Genomic DNA, 20,952 nt, shown 5'->3' on the forward strand with positions numbered 1-20,952 from the left:
ATCTTAATCTCATAGATGGTAATCTGTGAATTCACATTTCACAGTGGATTCTCACTAGAAAATAGACTATGTTTAAAATGTTCATTGACCATCCTCAGCAACCTTAGATTGAAAATTAATTTTGGCTGAACGCAGTGGCTCAAGCCTGTAATCCCAGCACTTTGGGAGTCCGAGGCGGGCAGATCACCTGAGATCAGGAGTTCGAGGCCAGCCTGGCCAACATGGTGAAACCCTGTTTCTGCTAAAAATACAAAAAAAAAAAAAAAAATTATCCAGATGTGGTGACATGCACCTGTAATCCCAGCTACTTGGGAGGCTGAGGCAGGAGAATTGCTTGAACCTGGGAGGTGGAGTTGCAGTGAGCCAAGATTGTGCCATTGCACTCCAGCCTGGGCAACAAGAGTGAAACTCCGTCTCAAAAAAAAAAAAAAAAAAAAAAAAAAGGAAATTAATTTCTATGTCGAGCACGGTGGCTCACACCTGTAATCCCAGCACTTTGGGAGGCCAAAGTGAGTGGATCTACTTGAGGCCAGGAGTTTGAGACCAGCCTGGCCAACATGGCGAAACCTCATCTCTACAAAAAATATAAAAATCAGATGGGCGTGGTGGTACATTCCTGTAGTCCTAGTTACTCGGGAGGCTGAGGCAGAGAATTGTTTGAACCTGGGAGGTGGAGGTTGCAGTGAGCTGAGATTGTGCCACTGCACTCCAGCCTGGGTGAAAGAGTGAGACTCTGTCTCAAAAAAAAAAAAAAAAAAGTTAATTTTTATATTAAAGGTCAGATTCTCCAGACTCACAAATGAGCTAACTTGGAACATTCCCAGAGTCTGTACTGACCATTTGTATTTTTTGTTATAGAAATGTACTTCCTGCACAGTGAATACGATCCCCAAACACACCAGACCTGGTCACAGTGATAGCCCTGCACTGGGCTGGTATATAACGTGAATAATCCTGGAAGAGGAGTGGACTTTTCCTCTCCAAACCTTTCTCAAACACAAACTGAAGATGACAATATGTGTGGAGGTTTTTAGGGAATATTTACTTGGGGCATGTGACATTACAAATGGCAGCGTTTCACTTTTGCTGTCCCCTGCATGTGGCTCTTTGGAAGGGCCATCCTTCAGCATCCTGGAGCTCCAGGGGAGACAAGTCCTAAAGACTTGTGGTCCTCTGCTCATGAGCAAGGACCATGCTTGTGTTTTTTTCTTTCTTTTTTTCTCTTCCGATTAAAAGTGCACAAGTTGTAATTTAGAAATACATGGATGCCTGTGGATTTTAAAATTGGATTTTAAAAGTTGTGGCAGGGAGTACAGGGACCAGTCTTTAATTATAGCTCACACCAACCCTATACTTTGTGATGCCAGGTTGGGGGAGGCATCACTGCTGAACAGGACTCCCGTAATCTGCATCTCAGGCATCTCACAGTGGGGCTTTCTGTTTGTTCTGGAGACAGAATGGAGGAAACAGAGGGGAGGCAGCGGATGCTGACTTGGGTATCTGGGACTCTGAGGATCTTAAAGGCAGCACAGCCCTCAACAAGTAGAGGTGTTTGGTTGAGGGGTTTCAGCTGATCACTAAACCAGGGCTGTCTGGTCACAGAGTTAATGAATTACTAAGGGAACGGAGTAGAGTCAATTACACTGCTGGTTTCATGCTGCTGACCTTGAAATCCTCTGGTTATTGAGAATGTGGCAGGTAGAGAACATTAGTGTTATGTACAGTTGAAACTAAATGAAGAAACTGCACATTTAATCATATTGCATCTGAGGAAAAAGATCTTTGTGTCACGTGAACCAGGGTCCAGATATGTAGCAGAAATGAGCTAGGCAGGCAGGTGGCTCTGGATACTTGGTAGCCTGTGCTTGGAATGGAGGGCAGTACTGCTCAGCTCAGCCTCCCTGGGGCTGCTGTAAAGGACAGCCCAGGGTTTCTGGATGTTTCCAACCTTCAAGAGAAGCTGGAAACCTGGCTTTTTATGTACCGTGCCTTTACTTTTAACTATTGGCAGCTAACCAAAAGTATTCTAAAACGCCATGTGGGTCACACCGAGTGTGGCAGTGTTCTGCCAGTTGCAGAACCATGATGTCCTGCAGGCCCCATCATTTCACAGCTGTGATAGATAACAGGCTGGCCCAATATTCTGCTGCCAGCTTGGCTCTGAGGCTGGATTTCTTTATCCCTTAAGGGCTGTTTTCTGGGGGATGCTATGGAATGACTCGTGAGTTCTGGGTTTTCCTGGCCAGCAGGCAGCTCACCCTCTAGTATTCTTAAAAGCTTTTCCTAGAAGTCCGCAGTCACAGCCAGCTGGACTTCCCTGAGGTGTGGCTTCTGCTCCTGGGCCTTCGTATCACAGATGCCAGGTGGAGCTAGATTCTTGGCCCATTTGTGTGTTTTCCCTGGATCTCAGTGGGCCTACCCTTAGACCCCAGGATATACTCACTTAGCCTGAAGGGTGCCGTGTGGATAAATGTGACAAAGTAGGAAGGAGAGCCGGGCACTGGCTACAGAGGGGAAGTTCTGAACAGATTGGGATTCCTGAGTTTCTGCTCTTGGTTTTCAGCCCAGCCTGAGACTTCTGCTCTCCCCCTGCCCAGGGGAGATGAAGTGGTGGTGTCTCTGTCACCTTTTCTCAGGGTGGGGCCCCAGGTTCCTGCATCAGATCACCTGTGGGTGGTAGGAAATGTGCCATGTCCCGGGCCCCACCTGCTCAGACTCACAGAATTAGGATATTGGGGTATGTTCCAGGAATCTGCACTTTGAATGCTCCCAGGAGGTTGATGGAGGGATGGCAAGGGCACTGGGCAGTAGGGTCTTGTGATTCCAAGTCATGTTCTATGGGCCCCACCATCCAGGAATGCAAGCAGATGAGGGCAGGCAGCAGCCAACTGGCTGCTTCGGGCTCATAGCCCAGAACCCAACAGGAAGTGTTGAGTGGTGGCCTGCCCTAGGACCGACTCCATGGGTGTGTAACGAGTGTAGTTGCACAGGGCCCCATATGCAGAAGGGGGCTCTGCACTTGGAATTTAATGCTATGTGGCTATAGTCCTGAAATTCTTAATTTTATTTTTGAAGTTGTGTCTTTTAAGCAAAGGCCAACGGGACAGTGGAGCAGGTGCTAGGGGCTTGGCGCTTCTGCCTCCCTACTTCCCTGTGGTGGGTGGTCTGCTGCCCACTCCTCACCCCGCCCAGGGACTTCTGCTGCTCTTTGCCCAGCAGGGGCCTGGGTGCAGGTGCAGAGAGAGTTGGGGTTGGGCATGTTCTTCATGTGCAGAGTGGTGGGGCTGGGGCTGTGGACACCTGTGAAACTCTACATATGTCCAGTGAGTATCCCCGTGCCTGAGAAAGTACAATAGTAAATAGCTGATTTTAAAAAACACCATGGGAGGTCAAAAGAGACTGCTGATGGAAGGAGAATGATTTTTTTCCTGCTTTTTGAACATTAGGCCCCACATTTTTGGTTTATGCTACAAATTATGTAGCTGGTCTGAGTGACCCTATGCATAAACCCTGTTCTTATTGGATCTACTTTATTGGTGGCTCACATTAATGAAATAATGCACCCCTTCCCCTAGGTTTTTGCTTTCTCTCCCTTTCACCAATTCTTCATTCTGATAACACTGAAAGTCTTTCATATGTTTAGTTTCTTTATACATTGTAGTATTCTTGTTTGAACGAATGTGAACAACAGGGATTTTTAAATATAAAGCAATAACATATTAAAAGTCCTTGAAAGCTTTATGCAAGAGCTTTGATGATTTAAAGAGAATCAGTAAGAGTTATCCTATTTATGTGGTTTATCCAATAATTGTTCAATTTTTAAGTGCGTGAATTTGGTTATGTAGTTTAGCCACCTAGGAGTGATTTGCACTGCCTCACTTTGTTAGGCAGGATAATAATAAATAAGCAGGATACGCTTGGGACCCGCTGTGTGCTCTGTGAATGTTTGCAGAAGACTAGGAGGTGGGGATTGGAGCATACATATCTTGGCAAAGGTTTTTATTGTTTGAAGGTTGAGCAGCTGGTAACACTAGGCCTAATTATTCCAGATGTTATAGTCTGTGTCTCACTTGACCTCTCATCACATTTTCCAGTTGACCATGTTCTACTTGAAGCACTCTTCCCTTGGTTTGTATGACGGCTTTCTCTTGTTTTTTTTTTTTCCCTCTGGTTCTCTCTGGCTGCTGCTGCTCAGTCTCCTTTTCTTTTTTTTTCTTTTTTTTCAGACAGAATCTTGCTCTGTCACCCAGGCTGGAGTGCAGTGTCACGATCTCGGCTCACTGCAAGCTCCGCCTTCCGGGTTCATGCCATTCTCCTGCCTCAGCCTCCCGAGTAGCTGGGACTACAGGCCCCCACCACCACGCCCGGCTAATTTTTTTGTATTTTTAGTAGAGACAGGGTTTCACCGTGTTAGCCAGGATGGTCTCGATCTCCTGGCCTCATGATCCGTCTGCCTCGGTCTCCCAAAGTGCTGGGATTACAGGCGTGAGCCACCGCGCCCGGCCAGTCTCCTTTTCTTTGATGCAGCCTCTAAATGTTGTTTGCTGAGGACTTAGTCCTTTGCCTTCCTTTCTTCCTCTTCCTTGTATTCTCTTGCGCAGCAGCTAAGAACAATGTCTCATGAGCCAGGTCGTTTAGGTTCAGTTGCTACTAATTGTGTCAATCTTAGGCAAGTTATTTGGCCAAATTACAGTGTTCTGTGAGCTTGTGCTACAGATTTATATCAATTAAAGATGAAATAATAATAGTGCCATCCTCATAGGCTTGAGTGAAGATTAAATAATTCATGTTAACTTGTGTTAATTGAATAGTAAATATTTTTAGCTATTAAAAGTTAGATGTTTGGGCTTCTGCTTTTGGCTATAATGAACTAGCTTGTAGCAGACCAATATTCTACCCAGAACAGTGGAGAAGCTAGCCAGAGGACCAAAAACATTTGTTTGAAGGCTCTGGAGAACTACCAAGGTGGCCAAGACCCCAGAAAAAAAGGAGACTCAGTGAGGTCAGACTCATTAAGTCTGATATTCTAAGTTGCTTTTCATCTTGATGTATTTACCTGTTCATGAGCGGCAGGTGCAGGGTCTATGAAGGCAAGTAGAAAGTGAGGAGGCTGAGAAGTTAAGCAGAGCTAATAGTAGTTTCATTCTGCTGGGGAGAAAAAAATGGAGATGGGGTCTTACCAAGATAGACTGATTCTGTTCAACATTCCAGGCATTCATTGGGACCCCTAAAGATTACACTATTGAAATAAGGGCTAACCACACACATAATAGGCCATACAAACACTGAAATCCAGTTTCGAGTGAGTTTAATCCTTGTTTGGATTAAGGAGATCTGTTCCTATGGCTTGCAAGAAGCTAAGGAAAATCCTCTCTGAAGGAAAACATTATCCAGGACCTCTAAATGTTTTAATGAACAATGACTACATTCAATAAAGATTTATTCGATATATCCAGAGTCATGACCAAGAAAAAAAGGCCACAGAAACATCTATGTGATCCAGATAACAGAATGATCAGATATAATCTCTGAAACAATTGTGATAAATACATACTAGAAAATAGATTAAGATAAGGAATTTTAACAAAACAAAATAGAGAAATACAATATAAATAATCAAATGGAAATTTTAGAAATGACAAATACAAAAAAAGTATGGAGTAAATGGTTCAACAGAAAATTAGACACAGATGGAGGGAGAATTAATGATCTGGAATATAGGTCAGTAGAAGATATTAAGACCAATTTGTGAAGAGCAGAAAATGGAAAATGCAGAAAGGAGCATAAGAAGCATATGAGTCATGGGTCTAAAATATATGTATTAAAATAACAGAATGGGAAAAGAAGGAGAATGGACAGCAGAAATATTTGAAGAGTTAATGGCCAATTTTCTAAAATCAACAAATGACACCAAACTTTAAGTTCAAGAAGTGCTGTGAATACTAGATAGGATAATTACAAGGTAATCTGCATGCAAGCACATTATATTAAAACTCATGGGAATTAAAGGCAATGAAAGTATTAAATGCAGCTAGAGAAAAATAGATTATCTTCAGAAGAGATATATCAGACTTAGCTGATGTTTAAACCAAAATGATGTAAGCTAGAAAGCAATGGAATAACAGTTTTAGAATACTCCAGGAAAATAACTACTAATGTAGCATTCTTTATCTAGCAAAACGTCCTTCAAAATGAAGGTGATATGACACTAAAAGCACAAAGAACAAGAGAAAATAGGTAAATTGTACTTTATCAAAGTTAAAAACTTCTGTGCCTCAAAGGGCATCATCAGAAAGTCAAAAACAATCCATGCAATGGGAGAAGATTTTTGCAAATCACATATCCGATAGAAGACTTGTATTAGAATAAATAAGAAGCTCTTACAACTGAACAACAAAGACCAATAGCACAATTTTAAAATGGGCAAAGGATTTTAATAGCTGTTTCTCCAGAAAAGATATATACATGCCCAGTAAATACATGACAAGATGATCAAAACCATTAGCCATCAGGAAAATGCAAATCAAAAGCATAGGATATCATTTCACATTTATTAGGATTGCCATAATAAAAAGGGCAAACAACAACTAGTGTTGGTGAGATTGTAGAGAAATTGGAAACTTCAAACATTGCTGGTGGGAATGTAAAATGATACAGCCACTTTGGAAGACGGTCTGACATTTTCTTAAAATGTTAATGACCCAGCAATTCTACTCCTAGGTATATACCCAAGAGAGGTGAAAGCATATGTCTACATAAAAACTTGTACACAGACAAATGTTATAGTAGTATTATTCATAGTAGCCAAAAAGTGGAAACAATCCAAATGTCCATCAACTGAGGAATGGATAAATAAAATGTGATATATCCATGCTATCAAATATTATTCATCAATAAAGGGAATGAAATACCAATAAATGCTACAGCATAGATGAAGCCCATAAAACATTATGCTTAGTGAAAGAAACCAGTCACAAAAGACCACTGCTATAGTTTGGATGTTGTCCCCTCCAAATCTCATGTCAAAATTTGATTCCTAGTGTTGAGGGTGGGCATAATGGGAGGTGTTTGGGTCATGGGGATACATCCCTCATGAACAGATTAATGCCCATGGTTGGGGGAGAGTGAGTTCTTACCCATATTTTTTCCATGCAAGAGCTGGCTGTTAAAAAAAAGCCTGGTACCTCTGTCCCACCTCCTTTGCCTCCTCTCTACCGTGTGATCTCTGCACATGCTGGCTTCCCTTTGCCTTTTGTCATGAGTGGAAGCAGCCTGAGGCTTTCACCAGATGCCCAGTCTTCCAGCCAGCAGGACTGTGAGCCAGATAACTCTTCTAAAATTATAAATGACCCAGTCTCATGTATTCCTTTATAACAACACAAAACAGACAAAGACAACCACGTATTGTATGATTCCACTTACATGAAGTGTCTAGAGTAGGCAAATCTATAGAGACAGAAAGGAGATTAGTGGTTGTGAGGGGCTGGAAGGTATATGTGTAGGGCAATGAGGAGTGACTGCTAATGGGTTTGTGGTTTATTTTGGGGGTGATGAAAATGTTCTGAAATTCACTGTGGTGATGGATATACAACTCTGTGAATATACTATAAGCCGGAGAATTATGCACTTGAAATAGGTGAATTATGTGGTATAAATTATCTCAATAAAGCTGTTACCCCCAAAGTGGGGGTGAAATCAAGATGCTTCTAGGAAACAGAAACTGACCAATTTTGTTGTCAGCAGACTCTCACTAAAGAAATACTAAAGAGAGTTCTTCAGGCAAAAGGAAATTATTATAGATAGAAGCACAGAAATGCAGGAAAGATTGAAGTGCAATAAACAAGGTAAATCTAAGTGAATATTGACTGCCCAAAACAATACTACTTCATGGGATTTAAAATGCGTTTCTCATTATCTCAAAAGGTATAGCTGGCACAGTGGGACACACCTGTGCTTCCAACATAATGAAACCTTGTCTCAAAAAAAAAAGGTATAAATCATATTAAAGTGGTCTAGTGTCCTTAACATTGTCTGAGAAGTGATGGCACTAATTTAGAGTAGTTTTTGCTCAGTCAGGAAGGCATATTATCTATAGGATAAATCACTAAAAGGCTTAATAAAAGAATGTGTACCTGGGAATAAATAGAATACTAGAAAGGAATATAGAAGAATAAAGAATAGTAGATTAAACCAAATATGGCAGGAAAAGAGGAAAAAGGAAACTAGAACATGCAGATTAAATACTAAACATGCAGATTTGAACTCAAACATCAGCAATCATTTTAAATTAACAGTCTTTGATATATTTTTATTAAAAATTATCAGATTAGATTAAAAAACTATATTCCACTTATAAGAGATACATCTAAAATATATGGGTACCAAATATTGTAAGTAAAGGACTAAAAGAAGACTATCCATGCAACACTAACCAAAAGAAAGTAGCATGCCTGTATTAATAACAGACGTACTCTTCAGGCAGGAAATATTACTAGAGAGAAGGAGGAAATCTCATAGTGCTAGAAGAGTCCACTAGGAAGTATTTGTCTGCACCTAATAACTGAAATAAATGCAATATTGACAGAATGAAAAGGAAAAATAGAAAAATTCACAGTTGTATGCCTCTCTATAGAACAAGCAGGTAAAGAGCAGTGAGGATAGAGATTTAAGCATCTCATTTAACAAACACTGCAACTGTTAGGATGCATTATTTTCATGTATTGGGCCATAACACAAGTCTCAAGAAATTTCGAAGAATTCCAATCATACAGAGTATGTTTTTTTTTATCACGGTGAAATTAAGCAAGAAATCTACAATAAAAGAAGGTATTAGAAAATTCCTAAATATTTGGAAATTACTTAATATACTTTTAAATAATTTTTGGATCAAAGAAGAAATCCCAGTGAAATTTAGAAATTATTTTGAATCGAACATAATGAAAATACATCACATCAGATCCTGTGGACTATAGCTAAAATTTACTTAGAGGAAAATTATAGTCTTTTTCATATTTATTTATTTATTGAGACAGTGTCTCTCTCTGTTGCCCAGGCTAGAGTGCAGTGGCACGATCATAGCTGACTGCAACCTTGAACTTCTGAACTAAAGAGATCCTCCTGCCTTAGCCTTCTGAGTAGCTGGGACTACAGGTGTGCACCACCACACCCAGCTACTTTTAAAAAATTTTTAGTAGAGATGAGGTCTTGTGAAAATTATAGTCTTAAATGCACATAATTGAAAAGAAGAAAGGCTGAAAATCTTAAGATTTTAGAGGTTAGGAAAAAACATGCCAAACACAGAGAATACAGAAGAAAATAATAAAGATAAGAATAGCAATTAGTGAGCTAGAAAACAAACTTACAGAGGAAAAGCAATATAATCAATAGTTCTTTAAAAAGACATTAATAAAGAACTTCTCCTAAATCATTAGAGAAAAAATTCAGACAGCACAGTTAGCAATATCAGAAATTTAAAAACGGGAATACCACTACCGATTCTCAAGACACATGAAGTAAGCAGTTATCTTTCGGCATGCCAATGCACCTGTGGGATTTCAACCATCATATTTTTATTCACACCCAGCCCCCTGAATCTATTTCTTTATTCACCACCATTTTTAGACATAACACGTTAAAAACAAATCCCAATTTTGGCTGGGCACAGTGGCTCATGCCTGTAATCCCAGCACTTTGGGAGGGTGAGGAAGAAGGTTTGCCTGAACCCAGGAGTTCAAGACCAGCCTGGGCAACATGGCGAGGCCTTGTTTTTACTAAAAGTTAAAAAATTAGCCAGACGTGGTAACGCACACCTGCAGTCCCAGCTACTTGGGGGGCTGAGGCAGGAGGGTCACTTGAGCCTGGGAGGTCAAGGATGTGGTGAGTCTTGTTCATGCCACTGCACTCCAAGCTGGGTGACAGAGTGAGACCCTGCCTCAAAACAAAAAACAAAACTGAAAAACCAAAAACCAGATCCTCATTTTATCCCATCTCCCTGCCCCCAAACAGCTATTAGGCCAGTGTTTGCCATGTTAATGCAAATGGTAAATGGTATCACCAGTTACTAATTTGCTCAAGCAAGAAACTCAAGATTTTGCCTCTCCATGTTGGACACCACCATATCCGATCAGTCACTCAATCCTCTAACTTTTCCTTTCTCCCTTTTATGCCCTCCTTCCCTATACCATTTCTCTCCCTTTCCTTCTCTCCATTTCCACTGGATTCACCATTGTCCAAGCCACATTGAAATTGTCCCTGATCCTGGCGGTGGCTTCTCCATTTGTCTTCCCTCTTCCATCCCCACACTGCAAAGCTGGTCCTGCACACATCTGCTCACAGCCATTCCATTTCATGGCTTCTTATTGCCCTAGAATCAAGTCTAGTCTACTTTGGGCAGTGAGGCTCCCCCTCCATGGCCGGTGGCCTGCCTCCCTTCACTGCCTTAAACTGCTCCCACTCTGTGACAGGACTTTTGCATCCACTGTGCTTCAGTCCCTACACCCCACATTCCACCCTAAAGAAAACAACAGAAACAACACAGGCAACAAACTCATTGTGCTCCTCACTTCCTGAACTGCCACCAGCTGTTGGGTGATCAGGACACAGTGTAGTGTGTGGCATGGACACAGTGTCTCCCCAGGACACAGTGTAGTGTGTGGCATGGAGAAGAACAGGAAAGGACTATCAATCTGAATGAGTGAACAAGCCAGTGATAATAATAATCCTGAAACATAGTGTTGATACGATTTTCAACTTGAATAAAGTGAAACGGAAAATGGCAAAAGGTGCCTATAGACATAAGTAAAAAATATATTCCAGCTTTTTCAAGGGAAAGTTTAATGTATTTTTGGCTATTTAATGATAACAAAATATTTTAAAATAATTCAAATGTTTACCTATTTACCAGACTATCACTCCCTCTAAATTTAAGCTCTGAATGGGAGACATCCGGCCTTTGTCTTTCTTGCAGAATTTGATAGAGGCTCTTGCCTTTGGTTGGTGAGCTGGACTCTTTTGTTGACTTAAATAGAAATCTTGGGCTTATTGGGAAACTGCTTAAGTCAATTTCAAGACATTGCTTCTCTTGCTCGGTGGCCACAAAGAACATAACTTATTAAATATTTCTGAGAAAGTAAAGTCCAACTGCTTTCAAAGTAAATACATTCATATTATTTCATAACCCATATATGCTGGATCATCAAAGATATCTTTGTACTTCATCCTAAAACATTTATTAAAGTAACTATGATGTGCTCATTTAGAAAAGGCCAAATGGGCCACTAAGAACTTAAAAGTTTAAAAATGATTTGTTGGGGTTAGCCAATAGGAACTACTTTCTTCTGATATCATGTGAATTGATTTCATGTAGTCTTTCTCTTAAGAAAATTGACCAAGTGTTACTTGTATTTTTAAAATATGTAAATGTAATTACAATTTTTTATGTGAAATGCATTATACATACAAAGGAATACATGTGAGAAGTGTGTATAGTTTGAAGGTTAATGAAATGAATACCACATTCTCACTATCACCTTAGGAAATAGCAGAGGACAACCTCAGAGTGCGTGCCCTGTATCTTGTCCCTTTGCAATGGTTGTTATGGGTTATGGGGGAATCATTAGTCCATAAAAGTTAGAATGATTGAACCGAGTTTTGTGTTGGTTTTATTAAGACTTGTGAAAGGGACATGTGGCACTGCTTGTTGGAAAGCTCTCTTTCCTAACATTTTTTGCTTGTCCTTTAAGTCCAGTTCCTTGTCTCTGCTCCATTTAAAAGGAACCACAAAATCCAAGGAAGCCACAAGCTTCATGGCTGCCTAGCAACAAAAGTACCATTTGAGGGGGGAAACAGGCATAGCTGTATTGCAACTGACCAAATGGAACATGCTGACTGCTTTTGGGCTTCTCTTAGAGCTGTATGTGCCTGAAGTGGGGCACTCAGGGGACCCATAGTCAAGCTGGCCCTGGAGAGAGGTAGGGTCCACAGCAACACTTCATTTATGAGCCAAGAGTGGGGCTAGCTTTGTGGGCGTGTGACTGATGGAGTCAGAAGGGTCCTGTGCTTAAGGTTGCTATCTTGAAATTCTTCCAAGTTTTATCTTTCCATTTGCATTTTGAAAGTGAATTTCCATGGATCCATGGAGCACACTCTGGGGGTTTGGGACTTCGTGTGTTCTTGCCTCCTGCTGTGTCCTCTCCTGTGTGGGAGGGTCCTTGGCTGACTGCTCCCTCACTCCCCGGTGCTCCAGGCTCTGTTTGGGCTCCCCTTCCTTGCTTTTACCCAGCAAGTGCTGCTGTCTTCTGCCCCAAGCAGGACTTTGGGCTCAGGGATGGTCAGGGAAGCAGGACTTTGGGCTCAGGTATATTCTTGCTCTGTGGCATGTCAGGGTTGGGCAGGTAGTGACCAGCCCTGCCTTGAGCCTGCAGTGTCGTGGTGCATTCAGCGGGCAACTCGAAGGGGGCAAACCTCTCACCCACCTGCCATCCAGGTGCAGAGCATGTGGAGTGTGAAAGTTGTTTTCCCTGTCGGCTGTGGGTTGAGGTGGCAAGCTCATGAGAAGAGGAGGGTGACGTAAAGTCAGAACCCTAAAGTTGCTGCTGAGCCTGTGAGTCAACTGGAAAGTTCTGGTTTGGCCCAGTTTGGCCAGTTTCTCCTGGGCTGTCTCATGTGTCTATCATGTGGGTCATCTGGAGGCTTGGCCATCCAGGCTGGCCTCGCGTGACATGTGGCAGTTGGCAGGCTGTGAGCGGGGGTGGCAGGAGCAGCCAGGCCCGAGTCTTTCACCCTCCAGTGGGTAACCCCAACATCTTCAGATAGAGGCAGAGCTCCAAGAGCAGCAAGAGAGGGCAGCCCCAGTCTCTGCCAGGTCACACGTGACACTGTCCATTGGCCAAAGCAAGACACAGGTCACCCAGATTCCAGGAGTAGAGGAAGAATCTACCTCTAGAGGGAATTTGCTGCAAAATCACATTGGGAGGATGTGGATGCAGGGATGGGGGAACCAATGAAGTGCCATAAGCACTTGCGCTTTCCATTAAGTTTACTTTTTTCTTTTTAAGATCAGAATGTTTTCCCACTTCTAAACTATAACCAAAATTAGTTTAAAGAGTAGCCCTAGTATATATTTATAGAACGGTTCTGTGCAAATCTATTTCAGGATTACACAGAAATTTTATTGCCTGGGCTATGGATCGCTGTGGACCTGCTGCCAAAACCTAGATAATCATTAAGCTACCCCAGTAACATGCTAGTTCACTGGACTAAGAAAAAGAAAGAATACATAAATCGAGACGTGACATCAGCCTCCTTTGAGATGTTTGGGTGTTTTTTCAGGATGGTGAGTCTGCCCTTTCTTTTTTTTCTTTAGATGACAGTCTCACTCTGTTGGAGTGCAGTGGCGCAATCTTGGCTCACTGTGACCTCTGCCTCCCTGGTTCAAACAATTCTCCTGCCTGAGCCTCCTGAGTAGCTGGGATTACAGGTGTGTCACCACCACACCCGGCTAATTTTTGTTTGTTTGTTTGTTTTTTGGTGGAGATGGGGTTTCACCATTTTGGCCAGACTGGTCTCAAACTCCTGACCTCAAGTGATCTGCCTGCCTTGACCTCCCAAAGTGCTGGGATCACAGGCATGAGGCATCATGCCTGGCTTGCCCTTTCTTTTTGACTGCACTATCTTTGCTGGAACAGTCAAAAGAACCCCAGAGTGACTTTGCATAGTGTCTCTACAAGGAGTGGAAGGCTCTTTCTATGTCTCCAGAGAATGAGGTCCTGCTTTATTGGTGTGTTTTATCCCAGGCGGAGTGGCACAAAATCCTGGATATTTAGAAGGACACTTACTGTGGATCTGAGACTGGCTGCCCGCTGAACACCCTGCCTCCCACCAGAATCCTGGCCACAGATTTACAGCCCTATCTGTGTGAGCCTGCAACCCAATCTGAAGTCTTCCTGTTGCACCGCTGTCACTGCCCCTAAATTTCCTTAATCGCTGTACTTCTGTAATAGCCCTGTAATGTTATCTTCCCCCATGGCTCCTGGCTTTGTCTTATGTCCTGAAGTGCCTGGCAATGTCCTGGCCACCAAACCTAGAGCCAAGAAAGGACTGCAGGGGACATGCTGCCAGGGGATCAGGGTTGATATGAAAATTGTCAGAGTCAGGAAATTCCAGGTCCCTTAAGTCACTTGGGAAGACATTTGACAGGAAAGGCCAAGGAATGGGATCAGGTTGCCTCCGTGTAAGTAAGAATTGAGATTCCCCGGTGGGGACTGGTCTGGCAGGGAGGTGTCTGAGTTTTTCGCTCTGTAGGGAAAGTTTTGATATATCTGTCTAAATCTGTGTAATAACTGGATTTGAATTAATCACCACTCACTGTCTATTCATATTGTTTTTAGTTCTTCGGAAAGTTTATGACTGTTACTTCTTTATCACTGACAAGATTGAGGAATTCATTTAGTGTACCTATTAATTTGCTTATTAAAATAATAACTAAACATGACCCCATCCCCACATATTTAGGGACTTTTGCTGTTTTCAACATATTGGTCCAGCCAAGAAGCACTGTGTTCTTCCTCCTTGGCTCATGTGATGGTTTAAATATTAATCTCCTGTGTCTCGGGTGTAATGATGGGCTGGGGTTTGTGTGGTGGATGGCTCGGGTGGTGTGTGTTGACTCGTTTGCTGTCTTCACAGCCCCTGTGTTGTTAGGATCCCCTTTGCACACACATGTCCTGTCTCCCAAAGGGCAGCCCCTCTTCCTATAGCCCCGCTGTGAGGACTCCACATGAAGTTCCTGAGAGATAAAGAGATGCAAATTATTTTCTTTTTCAGTTGAGGGACTCACTAGCACAAATGGGATGGGCCTGCCCACCCATTTATTAGGGATCCGGGTTGTGACATCTGGCGTAGGAGGTAATGGCAGCCTCTATCCTGGAGGGGGGACTCGGGCAGTTCCATGGAGGATGCTTAGGTCTCTGCTAACGATAGCAGAAGGGATATAACTGAGGATGAACGTCCACCCATTTTGACAGTTGATTTAGATGGTGTTTTATTCTTTTCTGTGTTTGATTTGTGTGTTATACTTAAACGATCTCTTTGAGGGAAGGAAGTGATTATGTGTTCCTTGGTGCCCTGCCTGTGCCTGACATATAATTTTGTTAAAATTGAACTGTGGAAATGGTAGTAGTTATGCTGTCCAGAATGTGAGAAGAGGAATGGTGAGAACAGGCCATTGTGCTAAGGTTTGGGGATTCTGCTGTCAGAGGCTAGGGAGATTATGGGGCTTCCTGTTACAGTTTGGGGCTGGCACAAAGCGCCTTGAGGCAGATACCTGGCAGGCCAGGGTGAGTGTCCAGAAAAGTGAGATATTTGTCTTGGGCTACTGGGAATAAAATCTGAAGATGCGAGATGGAAATGATATGCAAAATAGCCCAGATGGGGCTACATCTGCTGGCCACTAGTACATTCCCACCTCCTTCCAGTCTAAGAAGAGCACAGGGCTTAGGCAGGGCTGGTGGAGACTGATAAGCCTGGGTAAGGGTCTGTCAGTCTTTTCATCTCTGTTATCCCTGCTTTAGGTACCTCAACTGAATGGCCAAGAGCAGTATGTGCTAGTGCTGGCCTGGGTGACCTGCAAGACTGATTGTCAAATTCTCAGGAATTTCGTGAGCCACTTTTCAAATGTAGCTATTACTAAAAATTAAATTGGCTAGGCACAATGGTTCACATCTGTAATCTTCACATTTTGGGAGGCCGGGGTGGGAGGATTGCTTGATGCCAGGAGTTCAAGACCAGCCTGCGCAACAGTGAGACCCCCCTGCTACAAAAAAATAGTAATAATAGTAAATAAAAATAAAAGAAATTTAAAATAAATAAGAATTATAGAAACTCACAATTGAGCAGATTATATTAAAAACAAAGGTTATAGACATTCACAGTGTGTCACTTCCTAATTATTTTACTCCATTCTGCTACCTCTGCTCTCCAGGTTATTTAGGTCTTACAGATCTGTGTGGTAGAAATGCTGTATACTGGTGAGCTGCTGCACACCTCTTTCTAACCCCATGCTCAGCGACTGTGCATTGGTGGCTTGAAACAGGCTCTGGTGGGAGTATTTATGCCACATTCATGTGTATGCTTGGCTTCTCTCCAGACAGCGCTACTTGCTCTTCGTTCTCTCCCTCTGGCTGAGTGTGGATCACAGGCTCTGAATGACTCAGACCTCCTTGAGGAGAAGTAGAAACTCCTTATCCCAGTGCTTCTCTCTTTAGGCTCATGTGTTTCCAGGGGTTGAGGAAAAGGACATTGTGATGGCTTAAAGAGGTTTTGTCATTCCATCTTTCAGTCTGTTGATTATATGTGGGATTAAAAATAGGCAAAGTGTTGATACTATCAGCTGAACACACTAAATCAGCTTTCTTAGTTAATAACAGCAGTAGAAATTAAAGCAAGAATGAGCTGCCAATGATTACAACCAGACACATGGTCCACTGTACGTGTCAACAGGTCCAATTTCCATTGGAATTTTCCACCTGGAAAGATAAAGTCTGATTTCAGTCCACTGGTGATGGTTGGCTCAGGAGACACCTTCTGCAGGAACTCTTCCTGCCTGCTGCTTCCATAGAGTAGGGGAGGCAGCTCCTGTGTGTTTCCCCAAAACCCTGGGCACACCTTTGACACTACAGTACAGACAGGTTGGCCAGTTTGTAGTAAATGCTTTCTCAAATCAGATGATCCATCTATAGGATGCTGCTCAAGAATGCTGAAATTCACCATCAAGCCTTTAGTAATTATGAGGTATGGTCTGCTATTAGAGAAATAAAACAAGTGAATCAAATAGGATTAACCCCTTCAAATGACTTAACTAGGTATTTCTCACAAGTAATAAAGAAGAAATTCCTTTCATTCTGTTGTGGATAACCAGAAACAAGGAACTGTGGGGTTTCTAACAAGAATTAACAGCCTGTTATAGATGCTGCTTCTAAACAAGATGACAGTTTGCATTTCTCTTGTTGAGGATAATAGCAAAACTTTCCTATCAAAACAAAAACTAATCCCTTATTTGAAATCTCACTTATAGCAGATTATCAAGCATTCATCTAGATGTTTTAAAGTAACCACATATTTGTCTCCACTTTTCCCCTAGCTTTCATTTTGGAATAATAGCCTAACTCAGCAAGAAGATGAATTGAGTCACTCTTACAGCTCAAGAAATCAAGCATGAGGGTATAAGTTTAGATTTCCTCATAATATTAATCTCAATCTTCTTTGGTAAAATTATTTTTCTCTATTTTAAGAGTAATCATTCTATATGTAATATAATGCTAACTGCTACCTGTAGCAACCACAAAACCTTAATGAGTTAGCACAGCAAAGGCTCGTTTCTTGATGCTGTCACAGTCCAGGATGGGTCAGTGGATCTGGGCAGCAAAGTGCTCTCTTCCATGCAGTGACTCAGGAACCCAAGCTCCTTGCATTTGGGGCTCTGCTTTTTTCTAGGTTTCAAGGTCTCCTCTGGCTCCTCTGCATCTGGCCATAGGCAAGAAAAGAAAAGTGGACAGTTGTGCAGAGGTGTTATGGCCAAGCCTGTTGGGGGCCTTCTTCACTTTCACCCACATTCTGCTGATCAATACTCAGTTATGCAGCCAGAGCCCAACTCTAAGGCAAGACTGTGTGCCTGGGGAGAAAAGGGAATGGTGTTGGCAAACACATTTGCTCAGTCACACCAGAACACTCAGTTGATACAAGCTGCATTTTGCACCGTGACAAAATTTTCAAGTTCTGTGTGTGTCTTGGGCTGTAGAGAGGATGCAGAGTGTAGTGGTTGAGACCATGTCCTCAAATCAAACTGCTGGTATCCAAATTCCAGCTCCACCATTTACTAGACGGTGAATTGGGCAAGTAACATAGCCTCTCTTTGTGCCTCACAGTCCTCATCTGTAAAATGAGGAGGACTCATTTTACAGAGTCCTCATTTTACAGAGGACTCATTTTACAGAGTTTGTGAGAGAATCAACTGACTTCCCATGTACAAATGTTTAGAACAGTGCCCAGAATATAATGAACAACATATAAATGTTTGTTAAACAAAATTTTTGGCTGGGTGTGGTGGCTCACGCCTGTAATTCCAGCACTTTGGGAGGCCGAGGCGGGTGGATCACCTGAGGTCAGGAGTTCGAGACCAGGCTGGCCAAAATGGCAAAACCCCATCTCTACTAAAAATACAAAACAAAATTGGCTAGGCATGGTGGTGGGTGCCTGTAATCCCAGCTACTTGGGAAGCTGAGGCAGAAGAATTGCTTGAACCCGGGAGGCAGAGGTTGCAGTGAGCCGAGATCATGCCACTGCACTCTAGCCTGGGTGACAGAGCGAGACTCTGTCGCCAAAAAAAAAAAAATAAAAATTTTTAAAAATGAGATCAGTGTGCATGCCTATAATCCCAGCTACTCGGGAGGCTGGGGCAGGAGAATCACTTGAACCCGGGAGGTGGAGGTTGCAGTGAGCTGAGATCGAGCAACTGCACTCCAGCCTGGGTGACAGAGCAAGAGAGACTTAATTTCCTGTGTGCTATGTTGTAATTTGGGTATATTGCCATTCAGTTGGAGGATGTTTCAGTTCAATTGTAAAAATACTTTATTGAGCAACATTATTTGTAATGTGCAGAGTATGACCATAGAATCTGAATCAGTAGGCTCCTCACTGAATCAAAGGAAACAGCATATTTTCCCCACCAAATTTGCCTTTTAAGCCCTGTGACTCAATCCATGGTCACAGCAGCATCGTGATCTCGATTTCCACTCTTGAAATGCCAGGTCTCATCTGTGCCCCTGAGAGTGGAAAAAAGCGCTGGCCCAGTGCCCAAAGGGCTCCTTCAGTGGCTTAGGGCCCAGAGGATGCTGTCGATGTCACTCTGTTAAGAGATGCCTCATCCATCCACTTGGTACACAGATTGTTCCCGATCTATTTGCACTAACATACTAGCTCTTCAAGTTATGATCCACATTTCAGAACATTGCTTGATTTTACAAAACACAGGAGGGCAACATGATGTGATTTCTCCATATGTAGTCTCCATCTGAGGAGCAGGTTGGGTATAACAGGCTCTTTCTCTTGCAGCTGGATGACTGTACTCTGCAGCTCTCTCACAATGGCGCCTACCTGGATTTGGAGGCCACCCTGGCAGAGCAGCGGGATGAGTTGGAAGGCTTCCAGGATGACGCCGGGTAAGAGCAACTGTTCACCCTGCTGACTGGTCCCCACCTACCAGGAAATGGGGGTACATTGAGGCCTTAAAGTATTTAGGAGGAACTACCATGGCTTTGACCTTCTCTTAATTCTCAATCACACACGAGGGAGATGCAAGTGACTCATCAGTGGTGACTGCAGACCCGTTTCCATTTTGAGTAACTTTTCTTGATGGGTGCTCGGGAGTAGCCTTTCCTAGGAACATTTGTGGTAATCAAGCACATGGTATTTATATGCTAAGTTATTTTAAAATCATATGTCACAATTAAATCGATATTTTCCAGCCAGCTGTGGTGGCTCACACCTGTAGTCCCAGCTACTCGGGAGGCTGAGGTGGGAGGATCGCTTGAGTCTGGGAGGCCGAGGCTGCAGTAAGTCATGATTGTGCCACTGCACTCCAGCTTGGATAAAAGGGCAAGACCTTGTCTCTAAAAGTGAATAAATAAATGGATATTTTCCAGATTTTAGTGGATTTGCAACTATTTTAGATATTGTATTCAATGATAATTTACTGGATAGTTTCTTAGCAGATGCTATAGTAGATAGTTTTATACGGTATCATCTTTTAAACTCATTACTGTGGAAAAAATAATTATTAATTATGTTAATGTCAACTTACTTTTTGCCTATACCTAGAATTGCTTAATACTTTTGCTGAATAAAGAAATACTGTGAGTCTGAATAAAGTAATATGCACATAAAAAATCAGAGATGTGCACAGAAAGTGAAACCTCTCTAGGAATATACCCATATCAGCAGCCATTCTTATATTTATTAGATTACTGAAATAGCCCCTGATGGGGCCCCACCTTTTTCCTTCTGATTTTTATTTATTTATTTATTTTTTGAGACAGAGTCTCACTCCAGTTGCCCAGGCTGGAGTGCAGTGGCGTGATCTCGGCTCACTGCAGCCTCTCGAGTAGCTGGGACTACAGACATGTGCCACTGTGCCCAGCTAATTTTATATATATATATATGTTATTTTTGAGACGGAATCTCGCTCTGTCACCCAGGCTGGAGTGTAGTGGTGTGATCTCGGCTCACTGCAACCTCTGTCTCCCAGGTTCCAGCAATTCTCCTGCCTCAGACTCCCGAGTAGCTGGGACTACAGGCGTGTGCCACCACGCCCTGCTAATTTTTGTATTTTTTAGTAGAGATGGGGTTTTGTCATGTTGCCCAGGCTGGTCTTGAACTGCTGAACTCAAGCAATTCACCCTCAGCCTCCCTAAGTGCTGGGATTACAGGCGTGAGTCACCATACCCAGCCTACTTCTTATCCATCTCGAACTAAGTATATCTCTGATTTCATCACCCTCCTCTTCAGGAAACTTAAGAGTTTCCCTGATACTTTCCAAATAATGCTCAGCTATCTTAATCTGTTGTCCAGGAGCCCCCAAAAGTTGTTTGAAACCACTTTGCCCGAGTTAAAAATATGGTCCACTGAATACTATCTGGGAATTCTCATTTTTCATGAATAGCTCAATTAATGGAGAAAAATTGGAACCTTCTTAGTTTCATATAGCTATTTGACTTCAGTATGTACTGATGGCTTCCTGGGTTTCCCCTGTTTTAACACCCTTCACAATTTATGATCATTGATTGTGCTGCTAGTTGCACCTCTTCTCTGCGGCTAACACTTTACTAGGTCAGAACCATGCCTGTCTGAATGTCCAGGATTTGGCATTTTCTCAGCATGTTTCAGGCACTTAGCGAATAC

At 42.6% G+C, this 20,952-nt stretch overlaps 1 protein-coding gene across 41 annotated transcripts in view; it reads left to right on the forward strand.

Annotated features, from left to right (window-relative positions):
- The window catches only part of FHOD3 (formin homology 2 domain containing 3), a 482,508-nt gene that overhangs the window by 38,719 nt on the left and 422,837 nt on the right, over positions 1-20,952 (forward strand). For 40 of the 41 annotated variants that reach the window (XM_011526189.2, XM_011526190.3, XM_017026008.2 and 37 more), the window contains exon 2: positions 19,108-19,214. In XM_011526189.2, coding sequence (XP_011524491.1) covers positions 19,108-19,214 — 107 coding nt within the window. Of the gene's footprint in view, positions 1-19,107; positions 19,215-20,952 lie in introns of those variants that run through there. The other variant, XM_017026010.2, reaches the window with a different exon arrangement.

This window comes from Homo sapiens, chromosome 18, assembly GCF_000001405.40.
Source record: "Homo sapiens chromosome 18, GRCh38.p14 Primary Assembly".
Classification (NCBI taxonomy): Eukaryota; Metazoa; Chordata; class Mammalia; order Primates; family Hominidae; genus Homo; species Homo sapiens.